General features: G+C 34.4%; 1 protein-coding gene across 5 annotated transcripts in view; it reads left to right on the top strand.

Annotated features, from left to right (window-relative positions):
- PRKG1 (protein kinase cGMP-dependent 1) overlaps nucleotides 1-14,925 on the top strand; it is a 1,307,463-nt gene that overhangs the window by 1,168,214 nt on the left and 124,324 nt on the right. For all 5 annotated transcript variants that reach the window (NM_001098512.3, XM_017016413.2, NM_006258.4 and 2 more), the window contains one exon: nucleotides 2,788-2,862. In NM_001098512.3, coding sequence (NP_001091982.1) covers nucleotides 2,788-2,862 — 75 coding nt within the window. The remainder of the gene's footprint in view (nucleotides 1-2,787; nucleotides 2,863-14,925) is intronic.

The following is a 14,925-nucleotide window of genomic DNA, read 5'->3' on the forward strand; positions in this document are numbered from 1 at the left end:
TTTGTAGTTAGAGTCCTATGGGTGATTTCTTAATTTCTCCATTCAGTTTTAATTTTTTTATAATCAAAAATCAATTACATTTCAAATGAAATTTATAGGGAACTGAATTTAAAAATAGTTTTTATAATATTTTTACAGGTCTTTTGTAGGTACATATTATTTTCTCACTTTTGTCTAGTCATAAGAAATATTAATAAATATTGGGTCATTAGGACAACATAGAACATTCATATTTTAAATCAAGGACACTTAAGAAGACCTGAAGAAAGTTATACTTCAAATACTACTTTTGTTCGTTGTTTTTTAATGTGATACTTGTCACTGGATATGATATTATGAGGTTTAAAATGTGTTTTTTTCCAATCAAGCTCAACTTATTTTTAAGCTCATTGGGATGATTAGATGGTTTCTACTTTTAAAACTCCATCTAGCATAACCATATCTATGCTTTTCCATTTATTATATTTTGCTAAGAATTTCAAAGTGTATTTTCAAAATAATATTTTGTGGAGTTTTAATCTAGCTTAGTAGGTTGAACAGAATTTGTTAAGTTAAAAGTTTTAATTCTTGTCAAATTTATCATCAGTTTACTCTGTAATTCTTTGGTAATACGCTATCCTGTTTAAAGTGTCCTTAATTCAAATAGATAATAGAAGGAAGACAGGATTTTTTTAAAAAAAACTACTTGAACTCTCAGAATTACTATGAGTTTTAAATGCCTAATAACACAATCTCTTAATATATTGAAATGGATTTGAAAAACTAAGTTTTAGTAATTATTGCTGTTTGGTTTTCCTACATAATATTATTTGATTCTTCTCTTTCAATACCTTTTCATAATGTTTTGGATTTTGTTGTATTGTAAATATCCAAATATAAAGGACAGAAGCATTATGGAATATACATTCTGGTGGTGGACGTGCTGCTGAATTGCAGTCATCTTGGACAAGGAACTTAAACTGTGCTTGAGTTTTCTTATTATCTAAAAAACCCCCAGAAAATTAGCCAGATATTATCTATTTATAATAAAAGAAATATTATACTTTATGTTGTGAACGCGTCTAGCCTTAACATTCTCTAAACTCGGACTCCCTCTAAGTTTAGGTAAGGACCAAGACATTCTATGGGAAAGTGGGAAATTTTACCATATAAAGAACAATGACAAAAATAATATTTGAACATATTTTTCAACTGTGGGAATTATATTTATTATCACTGGTAATATACTTTTGAAAACTTTCTAAAGACTGTTGCCTATTATTTGTCTATTTAACAATCATTTCTTTTGGAATGAATTAATACAATTAATTACAGAAAGCTTTATATTCTTGAATATGATTCTTGATTCCCCGTGTCTCTGTCTAATCTTTTTTGGGGTCCCTTTATGTATAGAAATAGTTCATGTATTAGGTTCAGCATTCTGGTTACCATGCACTCTAGATGAGCTCACTACCCAAGGGTCTGAAGTAACAGCTTCTCCCTTCCCCTCCACCCACCCCAAGAAGGATGTCATGTTCCTCTTTATAGTTTTTCAAAATAAAAAAGTATATGTAAAAGCAATTAAGGAACATTGCATTTTAAATCAGCAAGCACCTTACTATGTTTCAGGACCTGACCATGCATAACTTATTGTTTAATACTCACAACACACAAACCATTTACATGTATTAAGCTGACAGAGGATTAAAATGAAATGTAATTTCTTACAGTATTTTAAAATTATCTCCATTATAATTAGAGATTATAATACTAACTCATAGTATTTCAAAATAAAAGAATTAACTTTTATTTTGAAAAACCTCATTGGAACTATTAAAGTATTTGTTATTACATATAAAGCACTTATAGCAATGCCTGGCATATGAGTACCATGTAAGTGAGGATCTGATTATCATGTGGGTCCTGGGACTTCTGAGTATAGACTTTCACTTTTTTCTTTCCTTCATTCCAGTTCAGTAGTTGCTAGAATGTAGTGTACAGTAAGAGTTACTGTATCTGGTTGTATTCAGTAATTTTCAAGGGCGATTCTGGTATACATGTGTGTATTCATTTTGTGTTGGCGCTATAATATTTACAATTTTAGTGACACAATTGATGATGCTTCACTATAGAAGTCTGAATACAGTTCCAGGTGCATAGTAGGATATTGAATAGATTGGATTTAAGCAGTTAAATCATTCCTCCTGTTATATGCTAAAGTTGATTTTTCACTCTTCCAAAATGAGTTAATTTTTCTGTGATCTTCTCCTTTTGTTTTCCTGTATTCTTCATATTTATTTTGCCTGTGAACCTTAGTTTACTATTTTGTTAAGTGGAGATAATGATGCTTGTTTTTCAGAATTTGTTTGAGAATTGTAATTAATATATGTTACTGGTAATTTAAATAACAGTACCTGGCATATAGGAGGCACTCCATAATTGGTAGATCTTGCTGTCATTTCAGTATTTTAATTGACTGATTAACTTTGTGGTGTATATCATTTAGTGTGTCACAGACTTTATTCCAAACAATTATTTGAACATCTGCTTTTGCCAGATATGGTTGCCAGATTTGTTTATGTGTTGGCAACTCTATTGGCAAATAATGTAGAAGAGGTCGGTAATTTCATAGAGTTTATATTCTAGTCAGGAAAAATGTCTGACATGCTTCTTATTAATGTACTTAGATTAAGTGTTTGAATTTACTTTTCTTTAGATGTCTTTAGATTGTTTCACTATATCACTGACTAGGTTGCCATTGCTACTATTTTGTAGAAGATTAATCACTGTGCTTTTTTCGTCTGACAGCTCTTTTAAACATTTGATTGGAGGGCTGGATGATGTTTCTAATAAAGCATATGAAGATGCAGAAGCTAAAGCAAAGTAAGTGACTTTTTTCCTTAATTTTGATTGCAAAATGATTTTGAATAGAAATAAGATCAAATATTTTGTTGGACTTGACACATCCCAACACTCTGACAGGAAACAACTAATTAGTTGAGAGACAAAGAAGCAAACTCTTCAAGATAATTATTACACGGTATGCTTACCTAGGAGTATGTCTCTCTTCAAACACAAAACTTCAATTTTGTGATGAAGATAATCTCAGCAAGAAAAAATGCTTATTTTAAAATCTAATATAAACAATTAAATGTAAACCTGTTGTTTGTCCTCCAGAAAATACTTTCTGAACAAATGGTGGTTGTGTTCCATAGTTGCTTGTGGAATTGTATCAAAAATAATAAGGCTAGAAATATTTCCCTGTGCTAATACATCATTACATTGAACTTTGATGTTACTAATATGAGAATGATATGAGATGGTAAATATCCCATTAAGTATGATGTTGCATAAAAATACAATTCCGTCTACAAGAATAATTTGATTAAAACAATGTTTTTTGACAAAGATTTAAAGTAAGTTGATATTAGCTTTTTCTGCAAAATTATTATTTTTAAAATACCAGTAATCTATATAATCCTCCCCTCTTTCCCCTAATGTAATTAGTATTTAATAGCATATAGCATACCTAAAGGATTAAATTGACAACAGTTAGCATTAAACAGATAGTTCAGGGCCAGAATTTGATCTGTTGATTTTGTAGTAACCTAAAAATCAAAAGAAGTAAAATAATGTATTTTGCTTTGAGAATCCATGAAGATTAAAAATTTGTCCTAGAACTAAAATATTAAGAATTATATTCTATGTTAACCCAATAAAATTATGTTATTTTCAAAGCTATATGAAAATATTCACAATTTCTCCTCTGTATCCTCTGTATAACCCTGAGGTCAAATGCCTGCAATGCCTCTGCTAAGGTTTGCTTAGGAAGTTACACAGGCCAGTTGTAACACCAGGCTCCATGCAGTCACTGAGACTGCTTATGTTCTGGATAATTAGTATTAATTGTTCTGGTTTATTTCAACAGGCTAAAATGTACATTGATATTCAGTTTAGACTTCAGTTTCTAGTATTAATAATAATCCCACCGAGGTGGGAAAGGGGGTCATTTAAGGTACCTTATCAGTTTTTAAAGTTGTACAATGGCCTTTCTTATGGTTGGGTTCTATTCCTATAGGAATTTTTTTGGTATGTGACAAAATTCATTCTTTTATAATTTATGTCAGCTTATCTTTTCGTGTGTTTGTGTGTGTGTGTGTGTGTGTGTATTCAGTTAAGGGTCTCATTGGTCATTATATATATACATCTTATATATAATTTACATATAGTATATATGTAATTTTATATGTATTACAATTTATATAATTATAATCATATTATACAATATTAAATATACATGTATATGCATATACATATATAAAAGATATAGAACAACTGATGGTAATCTTAAAAATTCACGTACAATCCAGTTAAGCAACTATTAATTAATAGAAAAATTCAAGACTTTTGTAGACTAATGTATTTTTGCTGCTTCCCTATTAAACTTTGAAAGTTTAATCTCATTTTTCCTATTAAACTTTAGAAGGATTTTCTAATGAATGTTTTTGTAGAACTCCTATTTATTCCACTTAAAGTTGAGGCCGCTATCATGCTTCAAATTGATCAGTGATAGGGAAGTGACTGAGTTAGTCATAGGTTTCTCAGTGTCCTATGGACTTTATAAAGATAACTGTGTGTACATCTCCTAAATTCTGGCCATTCATGGATTCACTTGCACATACTTCAATTAAAAGTAGTAAGTAAGAAAAACTGAAACAATGAAATTCAGATATTCAGACAATTAGAGGTAGATATGGCAACAATTCTTAACTTTGGAAGAAAATCAGTCAATATGAAAAACATGAACCTGAATGAAGGCCAGAAGTCTTGGGTTCTGCTCCTGGCTCTGTCATTACCAGACAAGTGATTTTGGTCATGAATATTAACGCCTAACTCTCAATCTCAGTTTTCACATTTTTAAAATGGCGTTTTTGAGATTTAATTGATGGCAGTGTGTAAAAATACTTTGTAAATTATAAAGGTTATAAAAATATGTCACTAGGCTCGTGCCTGTAATCCCAGCACTTTGGGAGGTCAAGGGGGGAAGATCACCTGAGGTCAGGAGTTTGAGACCAGCCTGGCCAACATGGTGAAACCCTGTTGCTACTAAAAATACAAAAATTAGCCAGGCGTGGTGGTGGGCACCTGTAATCCCAGCTACTCAGGAGCCTGAGGCAGGAGAATCACTTGAACCTGGGAGGTGGAGGTTGCCGTGAGCCAAGACCGCGCCATTACCCTCCAGCCTGGGCGACCAGAGCAAAACTCTGTCTCAAAAATAAGTAAGTAAATAAATAAATAAATAAATAAATAAAGTATATCACTAGAAATAACTAGAAATATACCTTAGTGCATTTGACATATAATTGAATTTACAGATTCCATGTCTATTATGTTGATCAATTTTACTTGGACAAGAAGTCTCTAATCTTATGTAAGCAACATACTTTTACTTGAGAAGACTATTATGAAATTAAACCTTGCCTAGAAAACATTCATAAAAATATTTTTAATAAAACAGTAACATTTGATTAAAAGAGAATTCAATTCTAATTAAAGAAGAAAGAAAGGCAATGAAATGACTACTTACATCAAAGTAGTTTCAAATATTGCTATTTGAAACCATTGATTTGATAGATTATAATATAGCCATTATGTTTACACTTTTTCCCCCAGTTTTACTGAGGTGTAACTGAGAAATAAGAATTGTATACAGTTAAAGTGTATATGACATGATGATTTGATACATAGGAATACATTGTGAAATGATTATCACAATCAAACTAACACATCTACCACCTCACATAGTTACTTTTGGGTGTGTGTGGTAAGAACAGTTAATATCTACTGTCTTAGCAAATTTCAACTGTACAGTTTTGTTTGAATTTTCTGCTCAATTCACACTAAACCCAAATGAATGTATAGTCCATGTTTTTTAATATTCATTATTATTTAGAAAATGGTAATTGCTTGATGAAAAAGTCTAAAACCTTTGATCCAAATTCTAGTGAGGCTGATAATATGACCTTTATTCCTAAAACCAGCCAAATAAGTAAATAAGCAAATAAATAAATAAATACTGGAGGAGTTATCGTTGTGTCTTATACACTGTTAGCATTTTATAGTCTTCTAATAAATAATTAATATCGGAAGTTTTCTGAAGTGTAAGGTATCTCTTAATTAGGTGTCCTGTCATTCAAAGAAGGCAAACTGTGAATTATTCCCTAGAGAAAGCTTTCTAGTTGAACTATCAAGTTTAAAACTCTATTTGAATTAGCATTGTTGTTTCTCCGTATTGAATTTCTTCCCCTTAACTACTTTATACTTTCATTTTGTATTTAAGGAATTTATAAGGGTTGCCAATGCTGCAGGGGCTAGGAACCAGCTCTAATTTGTTTAAAATCTGGGATATTTCTGTTAATGCCTCTAAATTTTTATAAGGATCACATTATCTTGACCATTTAGAAAGACAATGTTAATTTGGCTCCACTTTGTAAGCTTTATTTGTTCAGGGTCTTCTTGATGTTTTGCAAAACCTACGGAAGATAAGATTAATATTTCTTAAAGCTCGACTAAAATGATTATGTTAGTTATCCATGGGAAATGGATGTTTGTTATCCATAGTCTCATTGACTATGCCTATTTGGGTAAGAAGCGAAAAAAAGTAGGACTGACTGTAAAGATTGATTAAGTTGAGGCATTTAAAACTTAAATGGTAGTATAATCAAGCTCAATCGCAGAAAGATTTCACAAAATGTACAGACCATCCCAGTAAAACCATACCAGGCATTCAGCTCAGGTAGATAGTCTAGGAAGATTGGCTTGAGAGAAATGTTCCAGTAGAAGTGGTTCTCAAAACTCCTCTACTGCAGGATAGGTGCCCTCAGTCTGTCTCATGAGATATATTTTCTACAAAGATAATTGTTCTTGGCAGAAATTTTGCCTATATGGCATGCTTAAGCTTCTCTTGATTGTTGCTAATTATCCACTGAGGGCTTCTCTTTTTAAAATAGGAAATTATAATCACAAAGACATTAGAAGAGGCAACATCAGATCAAAGCTAAGGTTCACTGAATTTTATTTGGAGAAGAAGGTAGCAGGTGTGGTGAGAGGTACATATTTTCTATTGATAATATGTATTCATTCATTTAATAAACATTAGAAATTTACTTATGGTGAGTCAGGCATTGTGCTTTATAACGTGCACACCAAATAGAAAACACCATTTCCAATACCAAGGATCATCTTACAGTTCAGTAGGGAAGCTGGTATGTAATTGAATGAATACTTTCACTATTTGGTTCTAAGAATAAGTTTTAATAATTATTATGAAATAATAGTATTTGAATATAATTTTTTTTTTTTTTTTTTTTTGAGACGGAGTCTCGCTCTGTCGCCCAGGCTGGAGTGCAGTGGCAGGATCTCGGCTCACTGCAAGCTCCGCCTCCCGGGTTCACACCATTCTCCTGCCTCAGCCTCCCAAGTAGCTGGGACTACAGGCGCCCGCCACTATGCCCGGCTAATTTGAATATAAAATTTTATCTCTATATTGAAGCCTTGCCTTATAAAATTCATAATGATCCAGAAATATAAAAAAATTAAATACTTTGTTAAATATTTCTGACGTGTATAGCTTGTATCTTTGATGTCTTAATTGCTGAATACTCAGCAGTTACAGGCAAAACAGCTATTTCTTCAAATAAAAAAGCCTATATATATACATATATATATGTATATATATGTATATATATGTATATATATGTATATATATGTCTATATATATATCTGTATATGTGTATGTATACACACACACACACACACACACACACACACACACACATATATATAAGCCAAGATAGAGAAAGAAAATGAAAACAATCTAAACCAAACACAACTGCTATTACCTATCTTGGTGTTTTACAGTTGTACTTATAGTGCATTTTCAATTTTATATCTTGCTTTATTCCATTTAACATCTGTGTTAGTCTGTTTTGCATTGCTGTAAAGTAATACCTGAGGCTCAGTCATTTATGAAGAGGTTTATTTGGCATGGTTCTACAGGCTGTACAGGAAGCATAGTTCTGGCATCTGTTCTTGGCGAGGCCACTGGAAGCTTCCAGTCATGGCAGAAGGCAACAGGGCATATCACATGAAGAGAAAGGGATCAAGGGAGATGCCAGGCTTTCTTAAACCACCAGCTCTCACTCTGTGAACTAAGAGAAGGAGAACTCACTTATTATCATGGGGATAGCACCAAGCCATTCAAAAGAGATCCACCCCTATAACCCAAACACCTCCCATCAGGCCCAACCTCCAGCACTATGGATTACATTTTAACATGAGATTTAGACAGGACAAATATTCAAACCATATCAGCATCTTCATATTATAAACATTTATAATACTATTATATACTCTTCATGAAAATCATTTTAATAGTAGCTGACAACCCAATGAATAGAAACTTAGACTTCTAGACTGATTTGAGTTGTAGCCTTGTTGATTCAATGTATTTTGCTTTTAAAGGTGAGATCTCAATTACCTTTTAAGGAAAAAAAAAAAAGCACCAAACAACAAAAACACCTTTGAATACATTCCATCTAGCGATGCTTTTCAAACTACTTTGTGTCGTGACATTCATAGAAAATGAGTACAGTGTTTTGCACCAATTAGTTCAGCTGCCCTAGGCTCCATCCTTCAGTATTGAAGGCTAAAGGGATTCATACCTAAGCCCTTCAATGGGAAGTTCTGACAACTATATGACTATAGATATGTAAATGCACTTAGTTTTTATCTAGATTGATAATAACCAATATTGCTCTTTATTAACTTCTTCTCTTGTCAAAATCTATGTGAAGCCTCCAAATGAGCATGGACAGATAGATTTTCATCTGTAATATCCCTTGGTATACATAAAGATTTAAAGACTCCTTGCAATGCCTCTGTAGTCCCTCATGCACCAGCATCACCCATATTCATTCACCTCTTCATATGCTTTCATCTATTCAACAGTTATTTTCTATGTGCCTACAAAATGCTGCATATAAAACAATGAATAAAATAGATAAGTTTCTTGCCTTAATGGAGCTTATGGTCCAGTGGGGGACTGAGGCATATGTTAATCTTTCTGGGAAGTCTTCTTAGGGGAAGTGACATTTTAACTAGATGTGGCCTGAATTCTGAAGAATTAGCTGGTGCTGGCTAGGCAAGAATTAGTTGGTATTAGTTAAGCAAGGAGGTATGGAGAGCATTCTAGCTGGCGGAACAAATGGAAAGCATTCTACATAGAGGAACAGCATGGAAAAAGCCCTCAAAGTGGGAAGCAACATTATATAGTCAAGGAATTAAAGTAGCAATATGCCTGAGACCTAGAACAAAAGAGAGAAGGAGATCAGAAAGGAGAGAATGACAGATACCAAATCTCACAAGACTTTGTAAGCCACATTAAGAAATCAGGAAATCACATCAGACTTCCAAGCTGGCAAATGAGACGAGTTGGTTTATATTAAAACTGGGCACTCTTGTCTCTGTGATTGAAGGGGTGTACATTGAAAGCAGGGAGAATAATCAAAATATTTTTCATGTTAAAGCTGATAGTAGACAGGAATAGAGTGAGGACAATGTGATTTAAAAAAAAAAAAAGCATTTGAGAGATATTTAGGTGGCAAAGCCAGCAGGTCTTCAGGAAATAGATATAGGTGGTGAAGGAGGAAAAGGTCAGGGAAAATGCAAAGAATTTTGATCTGAATATTGGAGAGAAGTGACAGAATTCACTAAGGTAGAGAAGCATTATATGGTTCCCAGGTTTGGAGAGTAGGGTGATCATGAACTGATTTTTTGACAGTTTAAATGAGGTACTTTTGAGATATGGTTAGGCAGGTCTGGTGCTCAGACAGAAGATTGTTATCAGTTTGAGAATAACGAACATTTCGATGTTAGATAGTAATTGTAGCTGTGGATGAGATAGAAATTAGAGAGTGAGAGGAGCATGGCACTGAGGATTGATTCTTGATGAATGTTAGCATTTAAAGGTTAGAGAAGAAAGAAGAATTTGGCAAAAATTAAAGAAAAGAAAGACTGAGAAGGAGAGATGAAAGGTAGAAGGAACACCACATGCACAGAAACCAAGAATAGACTATGTGTTTTAGTTTGTTCAGGCTGCTATAACAAAATACTGTAAACTTAGTGGCTTATAAACAGTAGAAATTTATTTCTGAGTTCTGGAGGCTGTGAAGTCCAAGATCAAGGCATCAGCAGATTAAATGTCTGCCCATTTCCTGGCATATAGACAGCTGCCTTTTCACTGTAACCTCACATGGCAGAAGGAACAAGAGCTCTCTGGGGTCTCTTTTATAAGGGCACTAAGTCCCATTCCTGAGAACTTGCCCTCATGACCCAATAACCTCCCAAAGGCTCTTCCTCCTGGCACCATCACGATGGGGATTAGGTTTCCACACATGAATTTAGGTAGGAGGCAGTGCACAGTCTACAGCAGTGTGCTTCAAGAATGGGGGAAGAAACAATGATATTACATGTTGCTAAGAATTCTAGTATGTTACTTAACAAATTGGATTTAGCAAACCAGTGGGTTCAGTTTCATTTCACAATGGAGTGGTGGGGATGGAGCCCGCCTTGCAAAGGCTACAAATGAATCTAATTTTCAGAAACAGGATTCAATGAGCTTACACCAAATAATAAGACATTTAAGTAAAATTGCCAGAAATGTGTAAATGGAAGATTATGGATCTTCAGTACTGATAGAGATGTAAGCATGTTAAATCTAGTAGAGAAGAGAGTTTAAGACTGAGCAAGTGGTTCTCAGGTCCTTTTAACTTCATGACAAAGGCAGACCTCTTCAAAGGTTAAGAGTGAGACCATCTCCACGGATAAGGTTTATACCACTTTGTGATGTTATTTCTTGGTTAAGAAGGTCATTACTCTTCAGTCTTATACTGAGTAGCATTCCCTTAGTTTAAAGCATTACCCTCTCTCTAAAGAACCTATAAAAATAATAAATTATCCTAAGAGGAATAAAAAGGTTTTCTTAATATTGTAGTATAAATTTGTCCATAAACTATTTTTCCTGCAAGGATCGCTTAAGCCTTCCTCTGAGGACAAAGAAGAAAGAAGGACACTAAGAAAGAAGGCCCAAATTTGCCAAAAACTTAATAAAAACCCACCTTGTAATGACCATCTTGTTCTGTTCTGCTCTCCTCATCATGCACCTAAATTGTTCACATATTCTCTGCCTTGTCCCCAAAAAGGACATTCATAATAGATTCACATAATATAGGAAGAAAATATTAGAAGTAAACAAGAAAGATGTATCTATGGTAGTGAACCAGAGATAAGGCTAGTATGCAAAACAGGACCCTTATCAGTGCACTGACAAGAGAGAGATGCACAAAAACATTAGTGGCTGCAGGGCTGGCTCTCGCTTATTGCCACTAAAAAAAGAAGTACCACAATCACCCCCCTCTCCACTCCATCGACACTCTGCAAGAGCTGTAGGGAGTATTGCCTACCTGTGTACCACCCTTTTGGCTCTTTGATGGAATAGTCCTTAAATATTTTACTTCTATTTCCGTAATTAGTCCTCATTGATTTTCAAGCCCTCCTGTTTACAAATTTATTTGCAAAGAAACATTTAAGACTGTCTGATATTTTCAGGATTACTTTTGGTGATGAGCCTTCTTGTTTGACACAATGTGACAGCAATAAAAGATGTTCTCTCATTACATTTCATTAGCAGAGACAACCCTTTAGTAACTGATTCTGCCTGTCACAGAGAGGTTGCTCTTCGGCGGCTTTCAGACAGAACGGCTGCTGTTGTTCAGGCCTTTGAAAATGCGCTCATCAAATGCCTCTCAAAGCACCTGAGGCTATGTAAATCAGGACCTAGGTCTGCATTGTTTAGTAACATCTTCTGAAATGCCTCAGGGTCAGCTAGCTTCTAGCAAACAGGAAGTTTCTAAATGCACACTTGAGTACACAGGGGTTGCTGTTTTGAACATGCTGACTGAAATTTGGGGCTATCTTATTGGTGTGTTTTTTTTTTTTTTGGTTTTGTTTTTTTTTTTGCCTGACATTTTCAAGTGAAGATTCTAGTATTCCCATAATCTTATCAACAATTTACTTAAGACAACTTGGTCTTGATCTAAGCAATTCTCAGGGAAATGATCCTGGAAAATTGTTTTCCCCTATGGAACGAATTCAAGTGAGCAATATCCTCTTCCAAAATGGGAACGATATGTCAATTAAATAGACAAAACACTGAGAATGGCATTGTGAAATAGCCCTCAAACCAGAATTAGAACTTGCTGACTATCTGCAGGGTGAGTGGTCAGAAGGCAGCCCCATTTTCTCAGCAATAAAAAATATTTTCTATTTTATTGCAGGGCAAAATATAGGGGACGAAAATATTTCTGCAGTTGGCCCTGAACTAATATGCTGGCTTTCAGTCTTTCAAGAGCTGTTTTTGTTTTAAATTCTAGTACATGTAATCAGACTAGGCAGAAGTATACAATGGTTTCTAAGGCCACCAATGCTGATAGATTAATACTTCAGCAGGATTTGTGACTGCAGAGAATATCAAAATCCAATGCTCTTTCAAGTGCAGTGAGACTGATTCAGTTGCTTTTTTAAAAAAAAATGATTTTCAGGACAAAACTACTCGGCCTTGAATAGAAGTATTTTTCTTTTATCAAAATTTTTTTTTTTTTTTTTTTTTTTTTTTGAGACGGAGTCTCGCTCTGTCGCCCAGGTCGGACTGCGGACTGCAGTGGCGCAATCTCGGCTCACTGCAAGCTCCGCTTCCCGGGTTCACGCCATTCTCCTGCCTCAGCCTCCCGAGTAGCTGGGACTACAGGCGCCCGCCACCGCGCCCGGCTAATTTTTTGTATTTTTAGTAGAGGCGGGGTTTCACCTTGTTAGCCAGGATGGTCTCGATCTCCTGACCTCATGATCCACCCGCCTCGGCCTCCCAAAGTGCTGGGATTACAGGCGTGAGCCACCGCGCCCGGCCTATCAAAAATTTTAAAACTCTCAAAGGCCATTTGCTAATTTTTGCTCTGCAGCGCTTATCTTTGAGACTCTCTAGGTAAGAAGACTTTATAAATGTGAATCCCAGTATGTGCTTGCTTGCAGCCTTTTCTAATCAACAGAGAAGAGGACTACAGATAATTGAAAATTCTAGTGCTGCTGACTTGCTTGGTGAAAACAGACAAGCTACTTGATTGCTGAGTCTGTTTCCTTCTTCCAAGAAATAAAGATGCTTCCTTTCCACCATTGCTGTATTAAGTAATGACAATTGAAAATTACTTTCAAAACGTCAGGAGCTCTTTAAATTCTGTGGATACTTTGGTCCTGTATGGCAATTACCTTAGCCTCTCCAGAGCCCCCAGAGAACAGCCCGATACATGTTTCTTTTCAATAGCTTGATATATAAAGCCTATTTACAGTACAGTACTTTTTAAAAGCAGAAAAGAATAATACCTTTTATATCCCTTTGTGTTCTCAGTAGTTTCATTTGAAAAAATAATTATCTCTATCTACAATTCCTTTTCTTCTTAAGTGAAGGCAGTCTCTATTATTGGAGTGAATATAGCATGCAGCATAATTCTAAAACTGCTTTGCAAGTAAGGTTGAGCAACTCTAGAGATAAAATGTTTGAACCTAGTGAGTGAGAGCAAGGCTAGAAGTGCTGAAGGGCTCCCCCTGAGGAGGCCACATATATTTACATAGTGAGTAGTAGTAGTAACTGGGAGTTTGGAGAGCGAGCCTTAGTTACTGCACAGCCACTAACTTCATGTGAACTTGAACAAGCACCCTGGCTCCTTGGACCCTGTTTCCCAAACTGTAAAAATAGCAATCTTGAAATCCTTTCTAATTTTTGGCTTTAGGCTTCTAAGATGCTTAGAATGTGCACATTAACAAGGCATTCTTTTGGAATCGTAACTCCCTTTTATAGAAACAATATTTTTGTCTTTGCTGATTTTCTAAATTTATAATGAGGATATCTCTCACTGTCAACAGAAAATAGGCTCTTAAGGATCATGAAATAATTTATAAGTCTATGTTGTAACAAAGGTTACTTAAGTTATATGTCCTCATAAAATATTGCTGTTAAGGTGCTTGCTTTATTCAAAAATTTTTTATCAAATTGTGTAGTATTGCTTGAAGCTCATTTTGATAATTCATAGTAATTAAGTAAGCCTTTAGAAAAAGCATTTTCATTTTTATCATTATACAATTTTCTTTCGAATATGGCATTTAGATATGATAATAAGCCCTGCTATCTTTCAATAAAATGCCATTAGAAAATTATAGACTACCTTCGAAACTAGAAAATGTTATACTAATATTTCCCCCATGAATCCTTTTAGAAAGAAGTGATTTGTAAATAATGGATTTAAATGGTAGCATAAATTGTTTTGATACAATGAACATAATATACTATATGAATTTAGATCTTTAACTTGCTATTTGAGGAAGATGAGATGTAGAAGTGAAGCATGACTGGTGCTCAGAGACATTTACATGTATCACACCATTTTCCTCTAATGCATAAATTGCAAGCATTAGTCAACTTTATAAACTCTATTAATTACTTCAGGCAGCCAGCCTATTCCCTAGTATATCAGACATGTAGAGATAAAAGACAAAAGCTACTGCTCTAATATTCAAAAACTGTACAAACATTTTAGAAAACCTAGATACATTACTAATTGAGCATACTGAAGAATAACAATCCTCAAGTCCTTGAAAAGAGGATAAGGCAGCTTCTTAAAATGATGAATTTAAGACCGCTTTCAATTTAAGGACCTGGAAAAGTATGAGTCATTGGGTCTTTAACTAATTACTTATCAGTTTTACTAAGTTTTTTGTTGAAATGACCCTGAAAATTTGGTTCAGCCCAGTATGCCTGTGATGCTAGTAAAATTGGCTTCT

Source organism: Homo sapiens, chromosome 10 (genome assembly GCF_000001405.40).
Source record: "Homo sapiens chromosome 10, GRCh38.p14 Primary Assembly".
Classification (NCBI taxonomy): domain Eukaryota; kingdom Metazoa; phylum Chordata; class Mammalia; order Primates; family Hominidae; genus Homo; species Homo sapiens.